General features: G+C 46.4%; 1 protein-coding gene across 48 annotated transcripts in view, besides 4 other annotated features; it reads right to left on the bottom strand.

Moving 5' to 3' along the window:
• The window catches only part of LDLRAD4 (low density lipoprotein receptor class A domain containing 4), a 435,073-nt gene that overhangs the window by 137,225 nt on the left and 269,897 nt on the right, over nt 1-27,951 (bottom strand). The gene's annotated exons all lie outside the window — the stretch shown is intronic.
• Nucleotides 2,227-2,336: a silencer, noted in NCBI's record as "silent region_9334". NCBI's record gives its function as "represses an Ori minimal core promoter by ATAC-STARR-seq in GM12878 lymphoblastoid cells {active_cell/tissue: GM12878}" and the evidence as "EXISTENCE:reporter gene assay evidence [ECO:0000049][PMID:35858748]".
• Nucleotides 14,633-15,290: an enhancer, noted in NCBI's record as "OCT4-NANOG-H3K27ac-H3K4me1 hESC enhancer chr18:13500239-13500896 (GRCh37/hg19 assembly coordinates)". NCBI's record gives its function as "activates a minimal SCP1, AML or CMV promoter by ChIP-STARR-seq in naive H9 embryonic stem cells {active_cell/tissue: H9 hESC(naive)}" and the evidence as "EXISTENCE:reporter gene assay evidence [ECO:0000049][PMID:30033119]".
• Nucleotides 21,065-21,592: an enhancer, noted in NCBI's record as "H3K27ac-H3K4me1 hESC enhancer chr18:13493937-13494464 (GRCh37/hg19 assembly coordinates)". NCBI's record gives its function as "activates a minimal SCP1, AML or CMV promoter by ChIP-STARR-seq in primed H9 embryonic stem cells {active_cell/tissue: H9 hESC(primed)}" and the evidence as "EXISTENCE:reporter gene assay evidence [ECO:0000049][PMID:30033119]".
• Nucleotides 21,593-22,122: an enhancer, noted in NCBI's record as "H3K27ac-H3K4me1 hESC enhancer chr18:13493407-13493936 (GRCh37/hg19 assembly coordinates)". NCBI's record gives its function as "activates a minimal SCP1, AML or CMV promoter by ChIP-STARR-seq in primed H9 embryonic stem cells {active_cell/tissue: H9 hESC(primed)}" and the evidence as "EXISTENCE:reporter gene assay evidence [ECO:0000049][PMID:30033119]".

Genomic DNA, 27,951 nt, shown 5'->3' with positions numbered 1-27,951 from the left:
TTGCATTACATGACAATTTAGCATTTGCTCATCTGTGTTGGTGTCTATGTGCTGTAGTTTTAGTTTTTGTTTTTTAAGACAACTGTCCTATAACCATAAGCCATCTAGGACAACCTGGCTTCAAAGTTACATTCAAAGTGACATGCAAGAACCACCACCACTCCTTGTTTGTCTCCTGTTCTTTGCTCCACATTTGGAAGCTTTTCAAAAAGCAAAGTCAGAAATACTCATCCTTCCTTCCCTCATGCCTACAGGCAGCTCACCAAGGATTTTGGTTTCTTTAAAACCAATGTAATAACAGAGGCAGGCAGAAGAAAGAATGCACGCCAGTGTTGTGCACAAGGAAGGCCTATTCGGGAGACGAACAGAACCCAAGCCTATCGAGACCATATGCTCCACCGCTTACATTTGTCTTCTCTAAAGGCTGACCCTTTAACAGTTATGTAATTCAGTTACTTCACAACCATTTAAATATAGCAAAATGTCCACAAAGAAAAAAAGTTGCCCACCCACCTAAATACCTTCCATGCTTTGCCCACAGTGGTAATGTGGGGGTGGGGGTGGGCAAACATGCCTTTCAGTGAAAGCATGGAGAGATGTTACAGTCCAGGGCTTGAAAGAGCCTCTGTCAATGGCTTGCTCACCTACAAATAGTGTAGGGTGGGTTTGAGCAGAGACGTTGAACCTACAACTCTCACCTGTGCACCAGGATGTTTGCAGAGGCTGGGCAGCAACACCAGCCTGGGTTTCACCAGGGCTTCTGCATGAGCTTAGCTCATCAAGCTGCATTGCATTAAGCCTGTGATCCTGGGATTAGCTCAGAGACACAGCTGTCCAAGGTGGAAGTTACAAGACCAAGCGAACCCACGGCTTCTTTAAATAAATATACACATAGACACAAATATGGAATTTAAATAGTCTTAAGACAGTGTTAACAAGTAGTCCCCAGAGAGGGCTACCACGGCCTATGATGTCAGCCTTTCCCATTACCTCGTCTGTCTCTATTTGGCCCTAGAATCCTGGCTCACCTGTCAGCGAGGCCCACCTGACTCGGATATCCATGGTCAATTATACGAGAATGGGTTATTTAACTCTTAGCTTTATAAATGGAGGAAGGAAGCTTTATAAATGGAATCGATATCTGTTGTATATTTATTATATGCTAGACACTGTGCTAGGTGATTTATTTGTATTCATCTAATTCCCACAGTAATTATGTGAAATTGGTTTATTATCTCATTGTAGAGAGGAGGAAACTGAGGTTTAAAGAAACGGTTTACTCTTCCAAGGTCACAGTTCACAGAGAGAGTCAGGATACAACCCAGGACTTCAGCCCTCCACGAGTTATTATGGATTCTTTGAAAATGGGTGGGCCCCTATTATGGAATGAGACCTATATACAGTTTACTAGAAGTTAGTACAAGAGTTAACATATACGACAAAGTACACATGAAATACAACAACAATAATCTCCAATCTCTCCAACTTCCTGGCAAGAGGCAAAAGTCTGTTGGGACTGTATGGATCATGCTTTCTCCAGCACCCCAGTTCCCTGAATTGATCCACAATGGTGAGCTATGGCCCTTCTAGCTGAAAAAGCCTATATTACTTTCTGCTGAAAATTCTCAGGATGTCTATCTGAATTTCTCCAAGTTCTGACTTTGAATCAGAGTCTTCATCAACAAGATCTCTAAATACTTTTAAATGTTTCAAGCTTAAAAAGACAGGCTAAGTGTGCCAGGGTAGGACCCACCTTATACACTTTTACCTTGGCCTGACAGGTGTTCCATGAGTAACCTCTAACACGCTCTCATGAAATCAAAGCCCAACATAGGTCCAAGGCTTGGGGCCCTGGTGATTTGAACATAGCAAGAAAATTCAGCATAAGCTCTGAAAGCTCACAATAAACGGAGACTGATGAAGACGATGAAGGTGGAAGCCTGTGAGGACCTGTCCGCTCCTAAATATCTGAGGATCCAGCTCCCCACGGGATCCCCAAGAAGAAGATCTGAAGCTCCTGAAGTTTGCATTTTCCCTAACAAAAGAAGGGAAAAACACATGTAATTTAATAACTTCTTAACTATATAAGTATGGCCAAAAAATGTCCATGGAGACACAAAGTTGCCCACCCACAAAAACATCTTGTGTTTAGCCCACAGTGGTTAACACGGAAAATGTGACTTGCTTACTGATCTCTAAATGTGTTCTGAAGCAGCAGACAGCTCAGATTACAGAAACCGTTACTAGGCTGTCTGTAAGCCTGGAGACAGGAAGGGTGCAGAGTGTATTACAGTGAGGGCTGGCCAGGCTCTGTCACCTGTCAGGGCAGCTCTGTGACCCCGGGGCAAGTGCCACCCAGAACAAAGCAAACTGCAATGTAGGGCAGGCTGGATGACATGATCATCAGACTGTGCACACTTATGGAGCTTATGTAATGTGCAAGACCCTGTTCTGGTGCTGGCCCTCTGGGCAGTTTAGACCCTTATTCGTTTAAAGGAACTGCTGCTGAGCAACTAGCATCTGTGGCCAAACTTCATCCACTGCACTATCATTTGATAATTCAGAGACAATCTCCGAAGTCCAAAAGGCAGTGAGAGAAGACAGGATAGGGTAACGTATAAAATAAGCCAAAAAAATTTACTTTTCAGTGCAAGTGATCTCCACTGCCAAATTTATTTTCAAGCAAAATGTGAAATCCCAACATATTACAGCCAACTGGAATTTGACCAGTAATACCCAGGACAGTATCGGAACCTAGTTATCCCAAAAATATGGGTGTAAATTTTAAAGTTAAACATAAATGCAGTTAGAGTTAGAGGAGGGAGGAGGCAGAATACCTGGAAAAATCAATCTCTAATTTTCTCAAATTAAATGCAGTAGTCATTAGTTCTCTAAAGCTCAAGGAAGAATTGATCAAGTCCATTTAACCTAGGAACTGTGAACTACATAAAATTACTCAATGAATCTAAGGAAGTAAGAATCCAGAATGTGAACATCAAGAGCAGCAAAACTATTAGGAACATAATATATGTCCAAAAGCATTAAGGTTTGAAAAGAACTCAACACCCACATTGTAAGCACACAACCTTTTCCACTCCAGAAGCTCATGGCGAGCACCTCACAAAACCACAAGGGATGTTCCTGTTTTGAGATTATTTTCTTACAAAGTTGTCCCCAAAGGAAAGGAGGCCACAGATGACTGAGTGGCTATAGTTATGTAGGGTTTTAGGAAGATCATTCCTGTATCATGACTCTGGTGGAGGTTTATTTCAGTCAGGTACTTCATGCCACAGCAGATGTGTGGCTGAGGGGTTAAAATAATGGCATAGCTAAAATATGGCCACATTTTCTTACTCAGCCTATATCTACCCTGTAGGCCCAGCATGAGACACAACCATGAAAAGGAACAGGAAGGAAATTACATTTAAAAACAAAACACGATATTTTGCCTTCCAACCTGATTTAGATAAACGGAGCAACGCAAGCGCTCCTTGTTAGAAACTTAATTTCTATGCATAAAGAAATGTCGACTACATACATCAGCTGTCATGGTACATACATCCCAGATGTTGTACATCTTTCTGGTCCCCAGAACATGCCCCATGCCAGTGACGCTAAAAATACATTTCTTGTGTGTTTCCTCATACAGTCTGATTTGGGGGCATTAAGCTGAGCAAACAGAGAGGAGGCCAAGGTCTTCTCTTTGTTTTAGGTCTGGGGATTTTTATTCCTGAGAGCCAACGTTTCTTGGCCCAGCACGCCCGAGGGAGAACCAATGCTGGGGCTGTTCCGGCACCTGTACCCATGTCCCCGCCTTTCCTACTGAGGGGCCAGAAACAATCACTGTCTTTCTCATCCCCGTCCATTCAAGTCAGTCCTTGAGGGAAATTTCTACCTATCAGAAAACGATTACAGAATTCATGTCATATATTTCCTTTCTTTACCCATAATTTTCAAAGAATATGCCCATTTTCTATTAATAGTACACTGATAACCTGTGTGACTATTTATTTATTTTGAGACGGAGTCTCACTCTGTCACCCAGGCTGGAGTGCAGTGGCACGATCTCGGCTCACTACAACCTCCTCCTCCCGGCTTTGAGCAATTCTCCTGCCTCAGCCTCCTCAGTAGCTGGGATTACAGGTGTGCGAGACCATGCCCGGCTAATTTTTGTATTTTTAGTAGAGATGGCTGGTCTTGAACGCCTGACCTCATGATCCGCCCGCCTCAGCCTCCCAAAGTGCTGGGATTACAGGAGTGAGCCACTGTGCCCGGCCCTGTGTGATTTCTTTTTGAGCACATTTTGCCTTCCCTTTTCAGAAACAGGATCTAAAGCTCAGTGGACAGAGGCCTTCTGAGCAGGTCCAGTTTTCTCCTCTTCCTTCTGCAGGCTGCACTTGGGCCGCTCCTCACAGATCCTGTGTGTGAGGACATGAGTTCCATGACTTCTATGGGTGAACTAATCCAGGCTTGAAGAATGTTGCTCCCAGAAATCACTGCCGTTTTCCTAACTTACATGTATTAGCTTTTCTTTGGAAGATCTGAATTTAATTCCATTTTTTTCCAAGCAGATAAAAAGATCACTGGAGCACCATCTCCACTATCTTCCTGTTTTGTTTTGTGTTGAAGTTTCCCTCTCACTCCTCACCCCAGCCACATTAATCCTCTCCATGCTTTCAGCCGTATCTCCCTCTGCCCCAGGTAGTGCCTCTCTGCTTCCATACTCTGCCGTGGAGACAGACAGTCCATCACCAGCCCTGGCTGGGAAACTTAACAGGTGTTGACACTGTCATTCTGCACCAGAAAGGCCAACCCAACTGACTTTGCCTTTCCTCATATTTTTAAAGATGATTTTTTTATTTCAATACTTTTGGGGTATAAGTGGTTTTAATCACTTGGGTGGGTTCTATAGTCATGAATTCTGGATTTTAGTGCACCCATCACACAAGCAGTGTACACTGTACCCAATATGTAGTCTTTTACCCCTCGCCCCCTCCCAACATTCCCCCCAACTCTCCAAAGTCCATTATATCAAAGATGATTTCTAATAATTATTTATGCCTCTCTTTGGAACTCTCTCTAAAGGACTCCTGCATCATAGAACCAAATAGTTTTAGAGCTAGAAGAGACTTTGTGAAGGTTATTCAGCCTTGTACAGAAGAGAAACTGAGGCCCCAGGAGGCTGCATGACATGCAGAAAGTCTCCAAGCTGACTCCTGGGATTTAGCTAAAATCATAGGTCCCCATTCCCACAAAAACATATTACCTCTTCCATTCTAGATCTAACCACGGAGAGGCTATCCCCACTTTACGCAGTTCAGATACAAAAACATCTCAGTTCCCATGATTTAGTTAAATAACACCTGCCTCTGAACAATACGGTTCACATTTCAGTTACTACAACACAGACATACTCGGAGATGCTGCAGATTCAGTTCCAGGCCGCCAAAATAAAGTGAATATTGCAACAAAGTGAGTCACACAGATATTTCGGCTTCCCAGTGCATATAAAAGTTAGGTTTCCACCATACTGTAGTCTCTCTAGCGTGTGACAGCATTACGTCTAAAAAAGGTACATACCTTAAATCAAAGACACTTCATTGCTAAAAAGTGCTAATGATCACCTGAGCCTTCATTGTGTTGTAATCTTTTTGCTGGTGGAGGGTCTTGCCTCAATGTTGACGGCTGCTGAATGATCACAGTGGTGGTTGCTGAAGGCTGGGGTAGCTGTGGCAATTTCTTAAAATAAGAAAACAATGAAGAGTGCCTCATTGATTGACTCTTCCTTTGACAAAAGATTTCTCTGTACATGCAATGCTATTTGATAGCATTTGATCCACAGCAGAACTTCTTTCAAAATTGAAGTCAATCCTCTCAAGCTCTACCAATGCTTTAACAACTAAGTTTATGAAATATTCTAATCCTTTGTTGTCATTTCAACAATATTCACAGCATTTTCACCAGGAGTAGATTTTATCTCAGGAAACCACTTACTTTGCTTATCCATAAGAAGCAACTCCTTATCCACTCAAGTTTGATCATGAGGTTGCAGCAATTCAGTCACATCTTCAGGCTCCACTTCTAATTTTAGTTCTCTTGCTATTTCTACCTTATTTGCAGTTAGTTCCTCACTGAAGTCTTAAATCCCTCAGAGTCATCCAGGAGGGGTGGAACCCAATTCTTCCAAATACCTGTTGTGTTTTTGTTGCTGTCTTTGAGACAGGGTTTTGCTTTGTTGTCAAGGCTGGAGTGCAGTGGCATGATCATGGCTGACTCCAGTCTCGACCTCCTAGGCATAATTGATCTTCCCACTTCAGCCTCCTGAGCAGCTGGCACCATAGGTGCACACCATGATGCCTGGCTGTTTTTGTTTTTGTTTTAAATTTTGTGTACAGATGATGTCTCCCTGTGTTGCCAAAGGCTAGTCTTGAACTCCTGGGCTCAGGTGATCCTCCAGCCTCAGCTTCCTAAAGTGCTGGAATTACAGGCATGAGCCACTGTGCCTGGCCGATGCTGATATTTTGACCTTTTCTCATGAGTCATGAATGTTCTTAATGGCATCTAGAATGAGGAATCCTTTTCAGAAGGTTTTCAATTTACTTTGCCCAGATCCATCAGAAGGATCACTATTTATAGCAGCTATACCCTTAGGAAATTTATTTCTTAAAGAATAAGACTTAAAAGTAAAAATTGCTCCTCAATCCATGGGCTACAGAGTGGATGTTGTGTTAGCAGGCATGAAAATAACATTAACCTCTCTGTAGGTCTCTATCAGAGCTCTTGGTGACCAGGTGCATTATTAATGAGCAGTAATACTTTGAAAGGAATCTTTTTTTTTCCTGAGCAGTAGGTCTCAACAGTGGGCTAAAAATACATCTATGGATCTATTTTAGATCTGCTGTCATCCAGTTTTGTTGTTCTATTTCTAGAGCACAGGCAGCATAGATTTAGCATGATTCTTTAGGACCCTAGGATTTTTGGAATGGGAAATGAGCATTGGCTGCAATTTAAAGTCTCCAGCTGCATTAGCCCCTAGTGAGAAATTTAGCCTGTCCTTTGAAGCTTTGAGGCCAGGCATTGACCTCTCCAGCTATGAAAACCCTACATGGCATCTCCTTCCAATAGAGGGTTATTCCACCTACACTGAAAATCTGTTATTTAGTGCAGCCACCTTCATCAGTGATCTTAGCTAGAGCTTCTGGATAACCTGCTGCAGCTTCTACCCCAGCACTTGCTGCTTTACCCTGCACTTTGATGGTATGTAGATGTTTTCTTTCATTGAACCTCATGAACCTACCTCTGCTAGCTTCCAACTTTTCTCCTGCAGCTTCCTCACCTCTCTCAGCCTTCATAGAATTGAAGTGAGTTAGGATCTTGCTCTGGATTAGGCTTTGTCTTAAGGGAATGTTGTGGCTGGTTTGACCTTCTATCCAGACCACTTAAACTTTCTTCATGTCAACAATGAGGCTGTTTTGCTTTCTTATCATTTGTGTGTTCACTGGAGTAGCACTTTTAATTTCCTTCAAGAACTTTTCCTTTGCATTCATAACTTGGCTAACTGTTTGGCATGAGAGGCCTAGCTTTCAGACTACCAGGCTTTCAACCTGCCTTCCTCACTAAGTTTAATCATCTTGAACTTTTGACTTAAAGTGAGAGATGTGCAACTCTTCCTTCCACTTGAACACATAGAGGCCACGGTAGGGTTATTATTTGTCCTAATTTCAATATTCTTGTGTCTTGGAGAATTAGAGGGGCCCAAGGAAAGGAAGAGAAGTGACGGAACAGCTAGTGGAGCAGTCAGAACACACACAACACTAAGTTCACTGTCTTATATGGGTATGGTTTGTGGTGCCCCAAAACAACTACAATAGTAACATCAAAGATCACTGTATCACATATGCATGCATGTTTATAGCAGCACAATTCACAATTGCAAAGATATGGAGCCAACCTAAGTGCTCACTGACCAATGAGGGGATAAAGAAAATGTGGTAGATATACACACCATGGAATACTACTCAATCATACAAAGGAATGAAATAATGTCTTTTGCAGCAACTTGGATGGAGGCTATTGTTCCAAGTGGAGTATCTCAGGAATGAAAAACTAAGTATCATATGTTCTCACTTATAAGTGGGAGCTAAGCTATGAAGATGCAAAGGCATAAGAATGATATAATGGACTATGGGGACTTCGCGGGGAAGTTGGGAGGAGGGTAAGAGATAAAAGACTAAATATCGGGTACAGCATACACTGCTCGGGTGATGGGTGCACCCAAATTTCAGAAATCACCACTAAAGAACTTATCCATGTAACCAAAACCACCTGTTCCCCAAAAAACCTATTGAAATAAACATTTTAAAAATTAAAATTAAAAAGAATTTTAAAAAAGATCACTGTCACAGATCACCATAACATATAATAAGAAGTTGAAAATATCACAAGAATTGCCAAAATGTGGCACAGATACATGAAATGCACCCATGCTACTGAGAAGATGGCACTGAGAGACTTGCTCCATGTGAGGTTGCCATACACTTTCAACTTGTAAAAAACACGGTATCTGTGAAGCACAGTAAAGCGAGGTACTCCTGTATAGAGTCACTGTCAGCGCCGAAACTGCAGACTTCACAGCTAGCACTTCTGCCATGCAGATCACCATGCAAATGACAGATGAGTGCCATGGTCAGTGACCAAGCAGGTCACTTCTCTCAAAGTCTGTTGGCAACTGGTTACCATGCCAATTTAAAGTCACCAGCTGCATTAGCCCCTAATGAGAAATTTAGCCTGTCCTTTGAAGCTGTGAGGCCAGGCATTGACCTCTCCAGCTATGAAAATCCTACATGGCATCTTCTTCCAATAGAGGGCTATTCCATCTACAGTGAAAATCTGTTGTTTAGTGCAGCCACCTTCATCAGTGATCTTAGCTAGAGCTTCTGGATAACCTGCTGTTTTTCATGTACAGAATGCAAAGTATGTAGCTGTGTTGGTCCCTGTCACCCAGGGGTAAATGTATGTGATGTTTATAAAAACGGGTCATCAAAAGAGGAAAACCACCAACAAAGTTAAAAGTGCAGCAAAGAAATAAAAAGTCCTGCTGGAAGTGAAATTCAAGCCTACCGTAAACGGAGTTATAAAAGAAACAGCTGGGGTGGGGGGAGGGGGAGGGATGGCATTAGGAGATATACCTAATGTAAATGACGAGTTAATGGGTGCGGCACACCAACATGGCACATGTACACATATGTAACAAAACTGCACGTTATGCACATGTACCCTAGAACTTAAAGTATAATAATAAAAAAAAAAAAGAGGAAACAGCTGCTCGCAGGTTGGTGGCCAGGCTGCAGTGAGACTCCTGTCACGCCCAGGGGAAGGTGAGCTTAGGAGGAAAGTGGCTATAAGGAACGGGACAAAGACGGCCTGGAGGAAGCAATGCCAGGAAACAAGTTCACATTAAAGAAACTCTTGGAGATACTTTACAACGCTGAGAGCACACAGGAGAACAAGTGGGAAGTGGATCCACACTGAGGAGGGAGTGTGACAGCTCGTGCAGTGCAGGAAGGCTGCTCTGCTCACCCCACACTGCGGGTGACAGGATGAGAGGAGGTGGCACCGCTCAGACCACTAGGGATCAGTCTCACCAAGAAACAGCATGCTTCCATTCTCAAGGTTGCTAGTGTTTTGTTTTTGTTTTTGTTTTTGTTTTTTTGAGACAGAGTCTTGCTCTGTCGCCCAGACTGGAATGCAGTGGTGCGATCTCGGCTCACTGCAAGCTCCGCCTCCCAGGTTCATGCCATTCTCCTCCCTCAGCCTCCCGAGTAGCTGCGACTACAGGTGCCCACCACCACGCCCGGGTAATATTTTGTATTTTTAGTAGAGATGAGTTTCACCGTGCTAGCCAGGATGGTCTCAATCTCCTGACCTTGTGATCCGCCCGCCTCGGCCTCCCAAAGTGCTGGGATTACAGGCGTGAGCCACCGTGCCTGGCAAGGTCACTAGTGTTTTAAATTATTAGTATGCTAAGTAAATACCAGTTCTACTATCACTTGCCATTTCCCTATGCATTTACAATTGATGGTAGAAAAGTTTTTAATGCTGTGACCAAAAATATGCTTAAAGGTCAGGGCAGCAATTATAATTTTTCCTGCTATTAACATCACTTTGCATGGTTTCAATTCACAGGGCCATTTTTATGGTCCCACATTACTGTGCAAAGTGAGAGTCGTGAGCATTAGATACGCAGTATCATCTCCAGCATCCAAGTACAAAGTTCTTCTGCTTAGTTCTGTTCCTATTGGGACTAGCCTGAAGATCTCCTTTTCTCTGCTGGGAGAATCTAACTGAGGCTTCGCTTGTGGGTAACCAGCTCCTACTGCCTAGGGGAATTAAGAGACATTTTTATATTTCCTTATTCAGAAGGAATCACCATCTCTTAGAGCCCCCACAGCATGCCAGGGACAATGCTGGCACATCGTCTGGTGTGGGGACAATGGATGGCAACCCCTGAGATCCCCATCCCCGTCCCCATCCTCATGGCAGTGCTGGATTCCAGGTCTCCAGACTCAAGCCACCCTCTCCATCCACCCCTCGTCGGTGCATGTGTCCTCTAGTGGGAAGGTGAAGCTTCTTACTAAGGGTGGATATTCCCAAATCAGAATCCATCACAAACAGCAAGGACAATAGTGGGGCATGTCTGTGGGAATGGCGGCACAGGGTTATCAACCAACAGCTGGCAGTATAAGCCACACCCATGCCTCTCTCGGAAGAGAAAGTGTGTATTCTAAAAATACAGAATGGCCAAGTGGGGTGGTTCTTTCATGCCTGTAATCCCAGCACTTTGGGTAGCCGAAGCAGGCAGATCACCTGAGGTGAGGAGTTTGGGTCCAGCCTGGCCAACATAGTGAAACCCCATCTCTACTAAAAGTACAAAAATTAGCCAGGCGTGATAGCGCATGCCTGTAATCCCAGCTACTCGGGAGGCTGAGGCAGGAGAATCGCTTGAACCCCCGACGCAGAGGTTGCAGTGAGCTGAGATCGTGCCACTGCACTCCAGCCTGGGTGACAGAGTGAGACTCTGTCTCAAAAACACAAAATAAAATAAAAATAAAAATATAGAATGAATGCAATATTCTAGATGGCTTAGTTCTCTCTGAGTTTGCAACTGTTCATCTGCAGACCGTGGACACTTGTCTTAAAAGCCATGGTCTTCATCTGGAGAATGCCACTGTGAATGCCACACCTGTGAACCGGAGCAACCCATTAGTAATGCTTTAGGTTGATAAAAGCAGGGAACTGTCTTGTTTGAATTTGGATCTGGTGTCCAAGTCTCTGTTTTTGAGAGGGGGTGTAGCATGGGGGTCAGCGAACGGACTCTGGGGCCAGATTGCCCAGCTCAGTTCTTGGCTCCACTGCTTACCACTTGTGTGATTCAAGGCGAGATATGTGACCTGCGTGAGCCTCTCTCCCTCAGCTCTAGGGTGGAGACGGTAATTATGCTAACTTTATAGAGCTGTGAGGAGGACTACATGAGTTCATTTCTACAAAGCGCCTGGCATGTATTATGTACTATATGAGCCTTGCCTATCATTAGTAATGTTATTAAAAAAATAAATCTTTAAATATAGTATATCCATGTTACCTAAAATCTGGAAAATGAACAAATCATTTTACTCTATCATAACTAGTCTCATAATTATTTCTTTTGAGTCATTTTTAAATAATTATTTTTTACTTAGTTTTTTTTTTTAAAACAAGAGCCAGTCTTTCCTTTCTCATCTCCTGCCAGATGTACAGCCTATGAGGCCTGCCCAAAATAAAACCAAACTCACTTCAGAAAGGGGCTCCACATCCACGCACACATGCCTGGGCTGCCTGCTTCCCCTCTGGCACATCCCGCCCCTGTGATAATTTCATCTCACATGGGGCTGCTTTCCACTGGATCCACAGGTCTCCTGCACAGCAAGGAAGCCCCCTTCTGGTCCTCTCTCCTCTTTCCCCTTCAGATCTGTTTCCCCTACTTGATAATTAAAATAGAAAAATACAGAAGATTTTTTTCAAAGTCTCCATTCTCGTTTAGAGTCTTTAGGGTAATTTTACTTAGGAGAAGGGACCCTCATACACATGGCCGTTTGTTCAAGCACCTGGTGGCAGGGACCACGCTGCCGGCTGGGAACAATGGCAGGTTGCCTGCTATCTGTAGAAAAGGATTTTCAAAGGCTGCGCAGAATTGAGATGCTGCTGAAGCAGAAAGTGCTGCACTTTTCAATGCTGCCATTTCCAACAGTTAGTACCTAGGGCCATCCTCCATGTAACTGAGGAAAAAACCCTGGAGGAAAGCTTAAAACGTTAAATGCCCCTAGTATCCATCTCCACTTTCAGTTGTACATACTTTAAACGTTTTATCACACAACATCGGTTGATGGTGGCCATAGATAAACCACAAGAGACAGAATTCATGCAGTCGAAACTTGGAATTCCATGTAATACCATCAGCCTCTCAGGTTCATGTTAATACAAGCACATATACCTGACTGATGCCACAAAGTCTGCTCTCTCTTGCCCTTCCTTCTCAAGCCTTTCCTCCCCTAAATTCTTTCTGCTACAGCAGATAGCCGCTGTGTGCACTGACCTCCAACAACTGGGATCCCAGCCTGTGGCTGCCAGCCAGACTGCTTCAGGAGTGACCAGACGGGTGAAGTTCCCCACCAGCTGTGCTCTGAGGATGGCTCAGGAGAAGTCAAAATTCACCCCGAAGCACTGAGAAGACCTGTTTCATAGACAGATCACGTCCATGGGTGTGGCCCGTACAGTCCTCCCAGTGGGGTTCCTGTTTGGTGTCACTTCAGGCAGCCGTGGCCCAAGCTAGCTGAGAGTGGGTGAGAAGCAGAGCTACACGGCTTGTTCCTTTGCCACCGGCTGGATGCTCCTTTATCTTTTCCCCTACTTACTTTTTTCTTCGATAAAGAGTCGACAAATAATTAAGAATTTACTAGACAGTCATATTGTACACTTACGAGCTCAGCACACAATTAAAATGTTTTAAATGACTTAGTGCCTTGTACGAACTTCATACACAAAAGTTTGGTAGTATGCATACCAATATTTGGTATTCAGCTATGGGTGTGTGAAAGAATTAGTACATCTTAAACCCAAATAAAAGCATTTTAGAAAAGAGGCATCACAAAAGGCATCTGGACACAGTCCCAAGAGCTGGTGAATCGGTCAGGACCAGCACAGAGGCTAGTGGGACAGAATTTTAAAAGATGTGGCACCAGCTGATAAAACCTAAAGCACTAAGTAGTAAGAGTATCAAAACTGACAGGACACGTAACTTTAAGTCAGGAGCTAAAGAAAACACAGGAGAGCTGACAATCAGAGCAGCTGAAATGGTTTTCCGTACCTCATTGCAAAAACTTTCACAATGAGTATTTGCTACTCTGGTGACGGTTCAAAGCCTTCCGCGAATTTGCAGCGTTACACAAGATGTCACTTTCTCCCCTCAATTTGCCTACGGCACCTACCCGGACTTCTCAGCTGTGTAGGCACCAATTTCAAAGAGGTCTGAAGCCAGTGGAGTAAAAGCATTTTAAGTGTGATGTTTTCTTAGGTTGAACATATCAAACACACATTTCTAGTACAATTCCAAATGTTTCAAAATATTATTTTAGTTGTTAAGAATCTTGAAATGAAAGCTCTGTTATTACAGAATGCCCCTGTTTTTATCATGCATTAAACCAAACCAACCCCCACCCCATTCCCTGGCTCTCAGAGAGAGGGACATGCGTGTGTGAGCGAGTGTCAGGCGTCCTGTGCACACACAGGCACGTCATGTTTCTCCTCTCACTCCGGACCCCTTGGGTTTCTATGGATTATTAATAATACCCACCCACCTGGCTGGCAGACTTTTCACAACACACCCTACAAGATTCTGCAAAAAAAAAAAGCAACACAATTTGAAAATACACAATGCCAACCTCCGGAGGAGGGAAAGAGAAAGAAAGGAATTAAGGGTGAGACCCAGACAGACAGACAGACAGACAGGCTCAAGGAAACTGTGTTCCCTGGGGTCTGGGCCATGCAGCCGTCGGCAGGTACTCAGCTCTTCTCGGCGCAGACTTGCTTAGCATGGCAATCGGCTGTCTGCCCAGGAGGATGAGGTAATGTCTAGGTTTAATGCCAAAATCTCTCTCACTGGCAGGACACATCGGGTAAATATTTCTACTGCAGGAGACCACATTCATTTGATGCTACTGCCAGTTTTATTATTGTTATTATGCTCATTAATATTAATACTCAGCCACTGTACCTATTTAAGATTGAAGAGGAGAAAGGCAAGGTTTTGCTGAAATCATGATAGCAGGTGCAGGGGGAAGAAAGTAGCCCCTACTCCACCCCCCGGCCTCAATCTCCCGCTAACAACAGTTACAGCACCAGCCTTCTGCAATCCCTTCCATCATCCTCAGCTGCACAGAGACCCCCTGCAACTTCCTCTCCAGGTGGCTGTAAATCTGGGACCTAGCAGTGACAATGGGTTTGGGGCGGGTGGGCATGAGGGGCTTGAAGGCTCCTTGAAGCGACCTTCCTAGTTATAATATTTGAAAATGTAGAATAATTTATGGGTCAGATTGCCAATGGTTCCTTCTCCTTTCTAAAAACCAATTCTGAATTTGCTTCACCATATTTTTGATGATGTGTTTTATGGCCTCACAAACTCCCAGCTGGTTCCCTCGATGATCTCGTCTCTGTGGTTACTGTCAACAATCCACATTCGTGTTGTGGCATATCATCTTACAGAAGCATTTAAAGCAGCTCAGGGCTTCTTTCCTCTGATGTAGATTTTCTCCATTGTTACTCAACGAGGCTCTGACATCAGCCTCCTTTCAGTTCAAAAGACAGGACGTTTTTCTGGGAGTCAGGAACTGAATGCAGAACTTCCCGCGGGCTTCACAAAGGACCGCCGAAAGGGACAGTCACACACTGCCATGGATGTGGTCTCCTCTCTGAGGAGCTGGGAATAACGCTGCCCTCCCACAGGCGCTGCTCCCAGGAGGGGCGGGAAAGCATGATGCCAAAGGGCAGTTTCAAAACTGGGCCCCGGGGAGCAGCAGCGTTAGGTGTGGACAACATGAAAAAGCACCTAAGACCCAGTGCTGTCCTGCAATGAGACAGAGACGCGGCCACTGTCCCGCACAGCCCCACGGGCAGAGGAGGCGCTCCAGAGGAGGGACTTTGAGAGACGACGCAATGTGCCTGCTGTGGGAAGTCACAAGACAGCTGCTATTCCCGGGCCGTCAGGGCCAGGCCAGCCTGGCTAGCTGCTGAGAGGGTCTGCACAGTGACTCCATGAGGTTAGCAAAATATATATATTTTTAAAGCCTAGCAACCTTTCCTAAACATTTTTTTTTAATCACCAAAACATCACATTGTAAGGAGTTTCAGATTATTCCCAACATTTCCCAATGTCAAGTCTTGGACAACATGTCTGCACCAAACATGTGCTTCTAAATAGAAAACCGAAAGTCCCTGTCAATCAGGAAGGTAACACTCTGGAGAGGAGGAGGAAAGGAAGTGAGACAGTGCTGGTGTCTTTTGTCATTAGGACAGTGGAGATGCGGCTGCTTGACCCAAGCAGCATACTGGAAGGACAGCTGAGAGCAAAAACGGAAAGGGAGCGTGGAGGTTTTCACAGCAGGACGTGTGTGGGCAGAAGGATTCTCCAGTGTCCACAGCAGGATACGTGTGTGGAGATGGATTCTCCAGTGTCCACGGCTGGACGTGTGTGGCAAAAAGGATTCTCCAGTGTCCACGGCGGGACATGTGTGGAGATGGATTCTCCGGTGTCCATGGCAGGACGTGTGCGGCGAGAAGGATTCTCCAGTATCCACAGCGGGACGTGTGTGAGTAGAAGGATTCTCCAGTGTCCACGGCAGGATGTGTGTGGCGAGAAGGATTCTCCAGTGTCCACGGTGGGAAGTGTGTGGCGAGAAGGATTCTCCAGTGTCCACGGCGGGACGTGTGTGGCAAGAAGGATTCTCCAGTATCCACGGCGGGACGTGTGTGAGTAGAAGGATTCTCCAGTGTCCACGGCAGGACGTGTGTGGCGAGAAGGATTCTCCAGTGTCCATGGTGGGAAGTGTGTGGCGAGAAGGATTCTCCAGTGTCCACGGCAGGACGTGTGTGGCAAGGATTCTCCAGTATCCATGGCGGGACGTGTGTGAGTAGAAGGATTCTCCAGTGTCCACGAAAGGACGTGTGTGGCGAGAAGGATTCTCCAGTGTCCACGGTGGGAAGTGTGTGGCGAGAAGGATTCTCCAGTATCCACAGCGGGATGTGTGTGAGTAGAAGGATTCTCCAGTGTCCACGGCGCGACGTGTGTGTGAGTAGAAGGATTCTCCAGAGTCCACGGCGGGACGTGTGTGGTGAGAAGGATTCTCCAGTGTCCACGGCGGGATGTGTATGGCGAGAAGGATTCTCCGGTGTCCACGGCAGGACGTGTGTGGCAAGAAGGATTCTCCAGTGTCCACGGCGGGACGTGTGTGGAGATGGATTCTCCAGTGTCCACAGCAGGACATGTATGGCGAGAAGGATTCTCCGGTGTCCACGGTGGGACGTGTGTGGCGAGAAGGATTCTCCAGTGTCCACGGCGGGACGTGTGTGGCGAGAAGGATTCTCCAGTGTCTACGGCTGGGGACATGTGTGGGGAGGATTCTCCAGTGTCCACGGCGGGACGTGTGTGGGGAGAAGGATTCTCCAGTGTCCACGGCGGGATGTGTGTGGGCAGAAGGATTCTCCAGTGTCCACAGTGGGACACGTGTGGCAAGAAGGATTCTCCAGTGTCCACAGCAGGACGTGTGTGGGGAAAAGGATTCTCCAGTGTCCACAGTGGGACACGTGTGGCAAGAAGGATTCTCCAGTGTCCACAGCAGGACGTGTGTGGGGAGAAGGATTCTCCAGTGTCCACAGTGGGACGTGTGTGGCGAGAAGGATTCTCCAGTGTCCACAGTGGGACACGTGTGTCAAGAAGGATTCTCCAGTGTCCACGGCGGGACGTGTGTGTGGAAAAGGATTCTCCAGTGTCCACGGCGGGATGTGTGTGGCGAGAAGGATTCTCCAGTGTCTATGGCTGGGGACGTATGTGGGGAGGATTCTCCAGTGTCCACGGCGGGATGTGTGTGGGGAGAAGGATTCTCCAGTGTCCACGGCAGGACGTGTGTGGGCAGAAGGATTCTCCAGTGTCCACAGTGGGACGTGTGTGTGGAAAAGGATTCTCCAGTGTCCACGGCAGGACGTGTGTGTGGAGAAGGATTCTCCAGTGTCCACGGCAGGACGTGTGTGTGGAGAAGGATTCTCCAGTGTCCACAGAGGGACGTGTGTGGCGAGAAGGATTCTCCAGTGTCCATGGCAGGACTTGTGTGGGCAGAAGGATTCTCCAGTGTCCACAGCAGGACGTGTATGGCGAGAAGGATTCTCCAGTGTCCATGGCGGGACGTGTGTGGAGAAGGATTCTCCAGTGTCCACGGCAGGACTTGTGTGGGCAGAAGGATTCTCCAGTGTCCACAGCAGGACGTGTATGGCGAGAAGGATTCTCCAGTGTCCATGGCGGGACGTGTGTGGGCAGAAGGATTCTCCAGTGTCCACAGTGGGACACGTGTGGCAAGAGGGATTCTCCAGTGTCCACGGCGGGACGTGTGTGGGAAGAAGGATTCTCTGGTGTCGTTTTCGCTGGCTCCTCACTCCCAGCTAACAAAGTGTTTCTTCCCATTGTAGCTTTGGCTTTCAGAAGTCAGCCTTCTTTCCTCCCCAAAGGGAGGGCTTTCCTCACATAAAAGAAAATTAAGGCTCCCCCATATGTGTTTTGACCTGGTATTATGGCATGAAAGCCACTTGCACCTTCTTACAAAGTCTTAGTGAACTACTTCTGAAAAATGGTAATAATTAAAAAGGGTTAAAAATACACAGTAGTCAGCCTTTTAAAAACATTACAAGACTGACACAGCAGGCATGTGAAAAAAGAAGGAAAAAAAAAAAACACTACAAGAGCCACCCTTTTGCCAGGCCCAGTGGCTCAGGCCTATAATCCCAGCACTTTGGGAGGCCGAGGCAGGAGGATCACTTGAGGCCAGGAGTTCATGACCAGCCTGGGCAACATAGTGAGACCTTGTCTCTACAAAAAAAACAAACAAATTAGCTAGGCATGGTGGCATGTCCCGGTAGTCCCAGCTATTCCGGAGGCTGAGGCAGGAGGATTGCTTGAGCCCAGGAAGTCAAGACTGCAGGGAGCTGTGATCACTGCACTCCAGCCTGGGTGAGAGAGTGAGACCCCATCTCTAAAAAATAAAAAGAACCCTTCTTTAAGTTGAAATAAAAGGAAGCTAAATAAAATGCTCTGTAACTAAGCAGTCTCCACTTTATTTAGACTAGAGAATGCTCATTATGAGTCAGGCAGCAGGCTGGATGGAAATTACTAATTAATTGAACATTATGGCTTAAAACACAGTAATTCATCTTACTTACTGCTTTTCTTGAATACATGCGCATTTCTTAGGTTTTGTTAAGCTAATGAAAGGTCATGTTTAAAGGTTATTAATGGGGAAGTTCTCATTCTGAGGTTGCTTGGCTTCACCTGTCTTCAAGTCCACTGGGGTGCCCAGGTTCGGGCTGGCTGCCTTGAGATTTGCTGGACAAATAGACGTGTGGGCATGACATTTTATACTATGTGGTTTTAATTCTGGTTTGCATTAATGCAGTGGTTTTGTGGTAACTGCCACAAACCTTGAAATCACACCCTTTCCCTCCCACCTCCCAATCCCTTTATTAACCTCGAGTATGGGGGACTTTGACTCTGATACCAGAACCAAGAGTCAGATTTCTGTGGTGTCCTCCTCTCGGAAAACATCAAATGACGTGACCCAGTTCGGTGCTGATGCTTGAGTCTCCCTAATTCGAAACACTAAATTTAACTGGGTACTTTAAAGGCTGAATTTCGATCTCCTCCGTTCTTCCTCTCCACAGGGGACATGGCTCAACTTCCACACGAAAGATTTAGGTCAGATGAAAAGATGGTATTAAAAATCTTCAACAAAAGATTTGTTAAGCATTAGACTGTGCTATTGCCTGTAGAAACCTCATCCCCTGAAAATCTTTTAATAGAATCAAGAAGAGACTGGGGTCATCTAATCCACCCCCTGACTTCAGGCCAGACCCCACTAAAATTGTTCTGGGCAAGTAAGGCCGCCACATTTTTAAGGTGGATGTTTTGTGTTTCCAGAGGAACAGACTCCACCATCTTCCTGAACAACGCACACGATTTCCTGACAGTCTCCACGACTCAGGATTTATTTCCTTATGATTAACCTAATCTCCAAAGCCACCACAGCACTCACTTCCTCCTGTGCCCTCACTGGTACCCATGGCAAACAGCTGGTACCTGTCCCCTGCATACTCACCTTCCCTGTTCCTCTATACGCAGCCAAATCTCCTCGAGGCAGAGAAGGGAGGCCAGGCGGGTGGTGGGAGCGCCAGAAGAACCTGCAGTGTATTACAGGGTTTAGAAGGGGCCTGGGGAGCTGGGGAGGATGAAAAATCCGTGGGAAGAAACTCCACAAGGGCCCGGCAGCTGGAGGCCGAGGCGACCCGACTGAGCTAGAAGGTGATGGAGGTCTTCGCGCTCTCTGAACACTGCGCAGTGGCAGTGCTGGTGACGTTGCCGTATGATCCAGGCAGAGAAACAATCCTCCGAGTTTCAGTCGCCATCTCAGTACAAAATTAGTAACTCGACTTCCAAAAGACAGGGCTGGGCCCTACGACCTTTGAAGTCTTCTCTTGTTCTAGAATTTGTGAGTCTATTAATCTATTCCTGAGCCATCTTCACCACTCTAAAGGTTATTGACCCAATTCTTCAAGGCAGCTGAGGGAAGATTTCAGAATCCTCAGTGTATTTCTTCCCATTTTACTAAGCCACAGTATTAGTGACACCATCTTATACTTCAGGAATGGGGGAAATATGCCTTGGTATTTCCTCTAAAAGATAACTAAGTGGGATCCCGCAAGGGACAGCACCAAAGCTGCTTCTTAGGCTGGTGAATAGAAAACATTTGTTGACTGAAGGCAGGCTCAGAGAAACAGACGAGATACATTTACAATCTCAATTGTTTGTAGCATTTTAAGCCCTGAGATTCGTCAACTAAAGAAGGAAAGTGATTTGGGTTCTGTTCCTTTCTCAGAGCCCTCCCCGCACCGTATTCGCCTCGCTGGCCCTGGAACTGAAACCACCTCCCCACGCAGGGAGCGAGGCCATGAGACAAAATGATTCCTGATTGTAATTTATGATGAAACTGTAGATTTACTGGTGTACACTGGAATTTTAATAGTCTTTCCTCTGAATCCTGCTGCATAGCCCTTCTGAATAGTCCCATATATGTATATTCAGAGGTCATTTTCTCAGACAATGATTCACTCACTGTGAAAACTTGGCAGACTGGAAATCTCTCCTTGATGCCAAATGAGACCTTAAGGGCCACCCTAACTGCCAAGCTGGGAGGCGGGTCTCAGGGTTGAAGGCAAACGGGGTTCGCTTGTGCCTTAAGCTGAATATGAGCCCGTTCGGTTCCCTCTCACTAGTGTAACAACAGGAAAAAGCGGCCTTGAAGGACCACACATATAGGAAGAGAGGGTGAATTACAAATGACCATTGTTGAAGACTTCGTGAACAATCATTTAGTAATTCATTGATAAAGCCTTCATCCTGGGAGGCGCTAGGGGCACCCAAACTTCCTTAATTCCCACTGTGTCATTTATTCAATGTGTATGTGTATATATACACTGAATATACATATTTTTAATAATATATTATATTATTAAATATGTCTGTCTCCAGGCTGGAGTGCAGTGGTGCAATCATTTCTCACTGCAGCCTTAGTCTCCTGGGGCTCAAGGGATCCTCCCACCTCAGCTTTCCAAACTGCAGCAATTACAGGTGTGCACCACCATGCCCAGCCTCAATGTATATTTTCTATAAAACAGGCAAATGCGAAGATGTCTTATGAGGGCAGATATATCTGACTTGTTTTATGAAACTCAGAGGTAGGCTTGAGACAAGGGCTTTAGAGTTTCGGTGGCACATTGCAGTGTGAACTCATCAGGAAAAAGCCTCTAGACTCCAGTTCCTCAGTTCTCCACCTGAGACTGCTGGAAATGAATATGTTTCCTGAAGCTGTTTTATTTTTTGCTTAACTGATGTCCCTTGAAGCAGAAGTTGAATGAAGATTTTATTTCCTCTCTCGGTGAATATATGCTTTTGTGTCAGACAAGCTAGACAGCAGGTTGGGATACAGTGAATGTCAATATTTAATTGCACCTTCCTTTTCCACCTGTCAACCATGATGCCTCCTCTCAGCAGAGCCATCACCACCGCCCTGCTCCTTCTCCCCAAACTCATGTCGAGGTCATGTTGGCTGTCAGCTGTGCTCCGAGCCCAGGAAGGAGGAGGCACTGTGGGATGGCCAGGAAGGCGGCCTCCACACCATAAGGCAGGATTGCGGCACCGCGTCACCATGCCTGGACCACACGCCTCCATGCTGGGCCCTGCCAGGGATTCTCAGAAGCGGGGACCCCCTGGGTGGCCCCGCACACAGATGGGAGGAAGCAGAGGGCCCACGGGCTGAGTGAGGTCCTGGACAAGGACCACGGGGCTGGAGGCAGGGACGGCACGGCTGGGCTTTGACCGCCTCCCTCTGCTGTTCTGTGCCCCTCTTCCCAGCCACGGATGAAGTAAAGAGGCCATGTCCAACTCTGAGCCCCAGATGGGAGGAAAAAAATCATTTCATCTCCACCCCTCTTGGTTCCTTGCTTAAAGAAGAAAAGCTCTTATGTGACCAGTCAGGCACGGTGTCCTATGCCTTAATGAAACGATGCCATTCAAATATTGGAAAATATTTCCAAAGCATATAAAGCGATGACCAGCTAAGAACAGCATTCTTCTCAGAACCTTAGCAACACCAAAGCCGGAAGCCTCAGGGGTGCACAGTGCAAAAGAGGAAACATGATTTGTTTTTCCATAAAATATTTCTAGTGATCATTGCTTCCACAACCTACTTTTTTGAAGGTAAATTTTCTCTCAATTTTTCTAGCCCTAAAAGCTGACTCCATGATTTAACAAGTCCCTTCATGACCATGTTTTACATAGAACTGTCATGCAAAAAAATAGAAAAAGAAAGACAGACTCACTCGACTAAAAAGGAGAACCAGGGTGTCAGCCTGGCCTTGGGGTGAGGACATACACTTTCCCAGTATGAGCAGACTTGTGGAAATGGCATTTAAATGCTTGAAAACAATGTAACTTCTTGGCTGTAGGCAATATGTCAAGGTGTTTAGAAGATAAAGGATTGTGTTTTGATCCTCTCCTTTTTTTTTAAGACAAGATCTTTCTCTCACCCAAGCTGCAGTACAGTGGTGCAATCACAGCTCGCTGCAGCCTCAATCTCCTGGTTTCAAGTGATCCTCCTGCCTCAGCCTCCCAAACTGCTGGGATTACAGGCACACACAACCATGCCCAGCTACTGTTATTTTTATTTTTGTGAAGACAGGGTCTTGCTATGCTGCCCAGGCTGGTAGCACAGCGATCCTCCCACCTCAGCCTCCCAAAGTGCTAGGATTACAGGTGTGAGCCACTGCACCCAGCCCGTTCTCCTCTATTTGCCACACTCATTTTCAAGGGAAAGGCAGGAAGAGTGGAGCTGTGGGGATGGAGAAAATGAGGAAGGGGGGTATGGCATGACCTGGTGCTCCCAGGGCACCCCACTGCCCAGGTGACTCAGGAGTTTCCAGGAGAGCTCCATCTTCTGAGCAGCTACCATTTCTCTGGAGGGATCTAAGGCCCTGGGACACCTGCTGGAGGGCCGCCCCAGTCAGTGGAGATCCCACTCCTGAGTAGGGTCTGACAATGCCCATTGGCCATCCTGTGGCCTTTTTGATGAGGCCAGGCGTTCTACGGGGCTGGAGAAGAAGGTGTTTGCCAAGGAGCTGCTACTCCCCAGCTGGACTGCAGGAAGAGTGAACGCACAGGAGCAGGCAGATTCAGACCCGGGGGGGAAGGGAGGACCAACTCCATCTGTTAATACTGCAGCCACTCCACCGGATTACAGCAATGCTGGGCTGTGAAAGGACGTCCCTTCCGGCAGAGGCAACTCGGAACCAGAAGAAACTTTACAAAGATGAGATCCCATCAACAGCCCGGGAATAGGGGAGAAATCCAGGATTCACCTTTCCGTGCACTGGGGTGGATGAGTCCTGTGGCAGGCCACTCGCATCCTTCCTCTGTGCCCCTCAGGCCTGATGGTGTCCTGGCCATTCTGGGGACAAGAGCGTGGCCTGTTTCTAGCTAGACTTGCCCGAATCGGTCTTGTCTTGGTGTCTTGGGTCTTGGTGGCATGGATCTTAGAGAATGACAAGTTGCATTTTCAGTGGGGGGCAAAAACTCTATGAAGGTAGCATAAACCATGCTACTGTATTCATTATACCCAAGAAAAACAGGATTTCAGTGCTAGGAACAATAAAGTCAGCCTCATAGTCATCCATCAATTGAATGATGGAAGCGCCTCTACTTTTCCTCGCACCAATTCATGCAAGCCTCCCGGTGGTGTTCTGCAAATTTCATTATCAGACAGCACCAACGTGCAAAGCTTTGGCCTGACGTGGTGCAGACCCAAACACTGTCACCTGATGGGAAAAGTACCAGGGTGAGAAACAGAAGATCTGTTTTCCTGGCCTCTAGTTCTGGGTCTTGTTCTTTGTAAAATGGGTGTAAAAGTCCCTGCCGGGCCACTTGACATTAACTTTATGACTGCTCATATACAAACGTCCTTGCTCCACACAAATGCTTCTTTTTTTGCTATAAAATCAAACGTTAGCATCTTCAATATAGCTTACTAAATCCCAATCACCAACACTACATATAATCTTTAAAGGAAACAGACAGAAACTAGATTCACTGGCGCCAGCTATTAATTATTTCAAACATATAAAGTATCTCAAAAAGAAATAAGTCAAACTTATTCTCACTCAGTTTCAAGTATGTCTATCTTAGGGCGTCTTTCCAAAAATCTCTGTCGTTAAGCTGGACACACACACACAGGTGCCGGCCCATGGCCCGAGCATGACGGATGCACTCGGTGACAAGCCCATGACTGACAGCCGCCATCTGATAGTGGAGGAGCAGCCGGCTAGCTGTGGGTTCCAGAGGTGATCAGCCACAGATGGAAAAGGGAGGTCTTGGGATGCTTTCATCGTCCCAGCTACCCTGCAGGTGGACATTTAAAGTAAATCATTAACAAATCCCTGTGGCAGAAATACAGTGCACCTCAGCTCACCATCAGCTGCAAGGGACTCTGCCTGGTGTCCCACAGGCTGAGTAAGGGTCTGCGGCCTTTCCCATGAGGGTGGGTCTAGATGGTAGAGAGCAGCCCCCACTACCATGAAGAGGAGCAGAGACGACTTGGCCACCCACTGTGTCCAACTAAATCCCTATGGCAGCCCAGTGATTCACTCTGAGGTTAATTTCCAACATCTGAGAGGTTCAGGCTGGAGATACAGAATATCGTCCAGAGACAGAGGCCCAGATCTAAAGGGGACAGGGGGTGCAGAAGCTTTAGCTGGACTCTCCCTGCCATGCCAATGAGCCAAGGATGTGCAAAAATGCACATCCTGCCATCTCCCTGACAAGCCTGGCCCTCCTCCAGAATGGGCCATGCTGCATGCTTTTAATATTCCATTTACTCCTTTCTGGAACACATCATTTTAAAAAACTTCCCCTGGAAACGTCTATAAACCACAGATGAGGTAAGGTTGAAGAGAGTTTGGGGCTATCATTTTATTGAGGTAAAAAAATATATACATATAGAAAAGTAAACATAACTTACAGTTTTCATAAACTGAAACACCCACGTATATTTTTTGGCTTGGACTGTGATATTTTGAAATAAAAACCTCACAAAAGGATACATAAACTGAAAAAATGTTCCATTTCAATGTAATTTTCTTGCTACCACTTCATAATATAGGTTGGGTATCCCTTATCCAAAATGCCTGGAGTCAGAAGTGTTTCGAATTTTGAACTTTTTTGGATCTTGAAAACTTGCATTATACTTACCAGTTATTCTATTATACATCCACCTTCCTAATCCAAAAATCTGAATCTAAAATGCTCCAATGGACATTTCCTTTGAGCATCATATTGTCACTTAAAATGTTTCTGACTTTTGAGCATTTAAAATTTTAGGTTATTGTTATCCGATTGGGGTACTCACGCTGTGGCTGTTGACAGAGTTATAAACATAGCTGAAGGGAATATAATAAGCAGACCACAGTGGATCACAGGAAGCCATTTGGGTCCGAGAGCTTTCACGGCAGCAGGGCAGATGGAGTGCCCAAAACAGGAGCCTCCTAGTCTCTGAAGAGCAAGCCTGGTTTTCATGCTACCTTCACGGTGGTTTAGGAAAAGCACACACTCCGTTTGGCCATGTCTCTTCCAAGTGGGGAAAACCTAAATTTTATTCCCTTTTATCATGAGTTATTTACAGAAGAAAAAGAGATATATGCAACTTTCATTCATCTTTTAGCCATTTTCTTTCATCCCTGGCACAAATCTCCTCCCTCCTTCTTCTAACCCATGTCCCTTTAAGTCACTCGTGTTAAAAGCAGCAAACAGATGCTGGGGATAATTTAATGCAGCAAAGGTCTTCCTTCCACACCTAGGAATGTAACTGTGCCCCACACACTGGGAAAGGGCTGCTGCTGTGTCACGATTCTGTGACAGGAATAATACAGGTGGTCACAGAAGAATACACATTCCAGGCAACAGTTTCATATAACTGGAGGCTATAGGGTGACTAGGCCCTGACCCTGAAAAACAGGGTGTGGACCAAGCTGGCTAAGACTGACCGGACCCAGTGCAGAGCTGGATTTGAGCTAGGTCTCACCTCGGACCTCATTATCTGCTCACTGACGCACTCAATCACACACCACCAACACCATGACAGTTCCAGGACACCCTTATTTGGTGTAAGAATGGGTGACACTGGGCCAGGCACGGTGGCTCATGCCTGTTATCCCAGCACTTTGGGAGGCCGAGGTGGGAGGATCACCTGAGGTCAGGAGTTCGAGACCAGCCTGACCAACATGGAGAAACACTGTCTCTACTAAAATACAAAATCAGCCAGGTGTGGTGGTGTGTGCCTATAATCCCAGCTACTTGGGAGGCTGAGGCAGGAGAATTGCTTGAACCTGGGAGGCAGAGTTTGTGGTGAGCCAAGATCGAACCATTGCACTCCAGCCTGGGCAACAAGAGTGAAACTCCAACTCAAAAAAAAAAAAAAGAAAGAAAGAATGGGTAGCACCACAATTCCAATAAATCTCCACCTTTTTCCAGGAATTTTCATGAATATTCCACCCCTCGGTTAAAGAAACCCATAAAGATAGCAGCCCCAAACCCCATTCTGTGGCTCTCTTGAGTCTGCCCCCACACTTTCTTTTTGCAAGAGTGTACTCTTCACTCTGCAATAAATCTTTGTACTTTCACTGTTTTCTGACTCATCCTTGAAATCCTTCTCACAACAGTGTCAAGAGCCTGGATGCTGGCTAGGGTCAGGGTCCCACTAGTGTTTAGGGACCTCCCTGGCCCCTGTATCAATTCCACCCCAGTTTGTGCGAGGACACTTGGCCGCTCCCCGCGCTCTGGGGAGTCTGGTCTGGGGAGTCGATTTCTCCAACTGTGCACCTGCTGGCATGATGGGCACCTGGGTGTGTGTGCCCCACGTGAGCGTGCATGTGCAGGGTGCGTCTTGCAGAGCAGGAGGCTCAGGAACTAAGATCCAGACAGATCAACAGATTCTAGGTGATGGGAAACAAGAACTAGTCTGTTACAACTAAAAACGCCTGGAGGCAAACGACAAGTCAGTGTCTCCCAGGCCTGGCTTTCTTAGTGCACAGGGCTGCCTGGGGCACAGGCAGGGCTCCACAATGACTGTCGCTGGCTGGTTACAAGAAATAGGGGGTTTGCCACATCCCTGAAGTCAGTGTAGATCTCACAGCATTGATGCATTTCAGAAACGCACCTGGAAGGGTGCAGAAGTGTGAGATAGCTTGTATGCCGCCACCTCATCTCAGGACCTGTTTCTATCTTGCTCTCTCCTCTCCAAGGCAGTGGGATGCGAGGGCCCAGAGGGGCCCACAGAGGGGGTCTGCACTCTGTTCCCCTGACAGGCCCTGCCCTGGCCCTGTAACACTCATGACCAGAGCATGGCTCTAGGGAACAGGACCAGAGGGCAAACCCAACACAGAAGCGATGACAAGCGATGGGAGATGGCAAGGCAGAGCGGAAAGGGGGCCAAGGCTGTCCCTGGAAGTCCCTGCCAGTCTAGGGACAGGAAGGAGCTTGGAGAGGTGCTGAACTCAAGGGCCAGATGGCTGCTTTTCCATGAGGGAGCCAGGGTCACTCTCTAAGAGCCCAGGCAGCTCACTGAAAGCCTTGTCCTTCCCATCCCTCTCACCTGGACTGCAATTCAAATTCCTCGCCCAGGGCCCTGAGACCCTGACCAGGCCCCTGCCCTCTCCCATCTCCCCCTTGCTCTCAGTGCTCCTGCCCACCTCCTGCCTATGTGTCCATGAAATGCCCAGCAGCACTCCCCCCTCCCCAGATCCAGCACTCCACTCCAAGGCAGGTTCTCCAGGACGCCACCCTGGCCTTGGCACAGCCATGGCTCTCCAGGGCCCCCTTCATTTCTCTCCACAGCTCCAGACACCCAACATGACATTACAGTTTTCCTGTTTGTTTTCGATCTCTGTGAAGGCAAGGGTTTTACTTATTTAGTGTGGAATTGCCGATGCTGAAGATACTGCAGGAGTTTAGTCATACTTATTGGATGAATGAAAGAAGAAACAAGTTAGCTAGCTAAT

Source organism: Homo sapiens, chromosome 18 (genome assembly GCF_000001405.40).
Source record: "Homo sapiens chromosome 18, GRCh38.p14 Primary Assembly".
NCBI lineage: Eukaryota > Metazoa > Chordata > Mammalia > Primates > Hominidae > Homo > Homo sapiens.
Note: the sequence above shows the minus strand (reverse complement) of the source record. Positions and strands in the feature narration are given on the sequence as shown.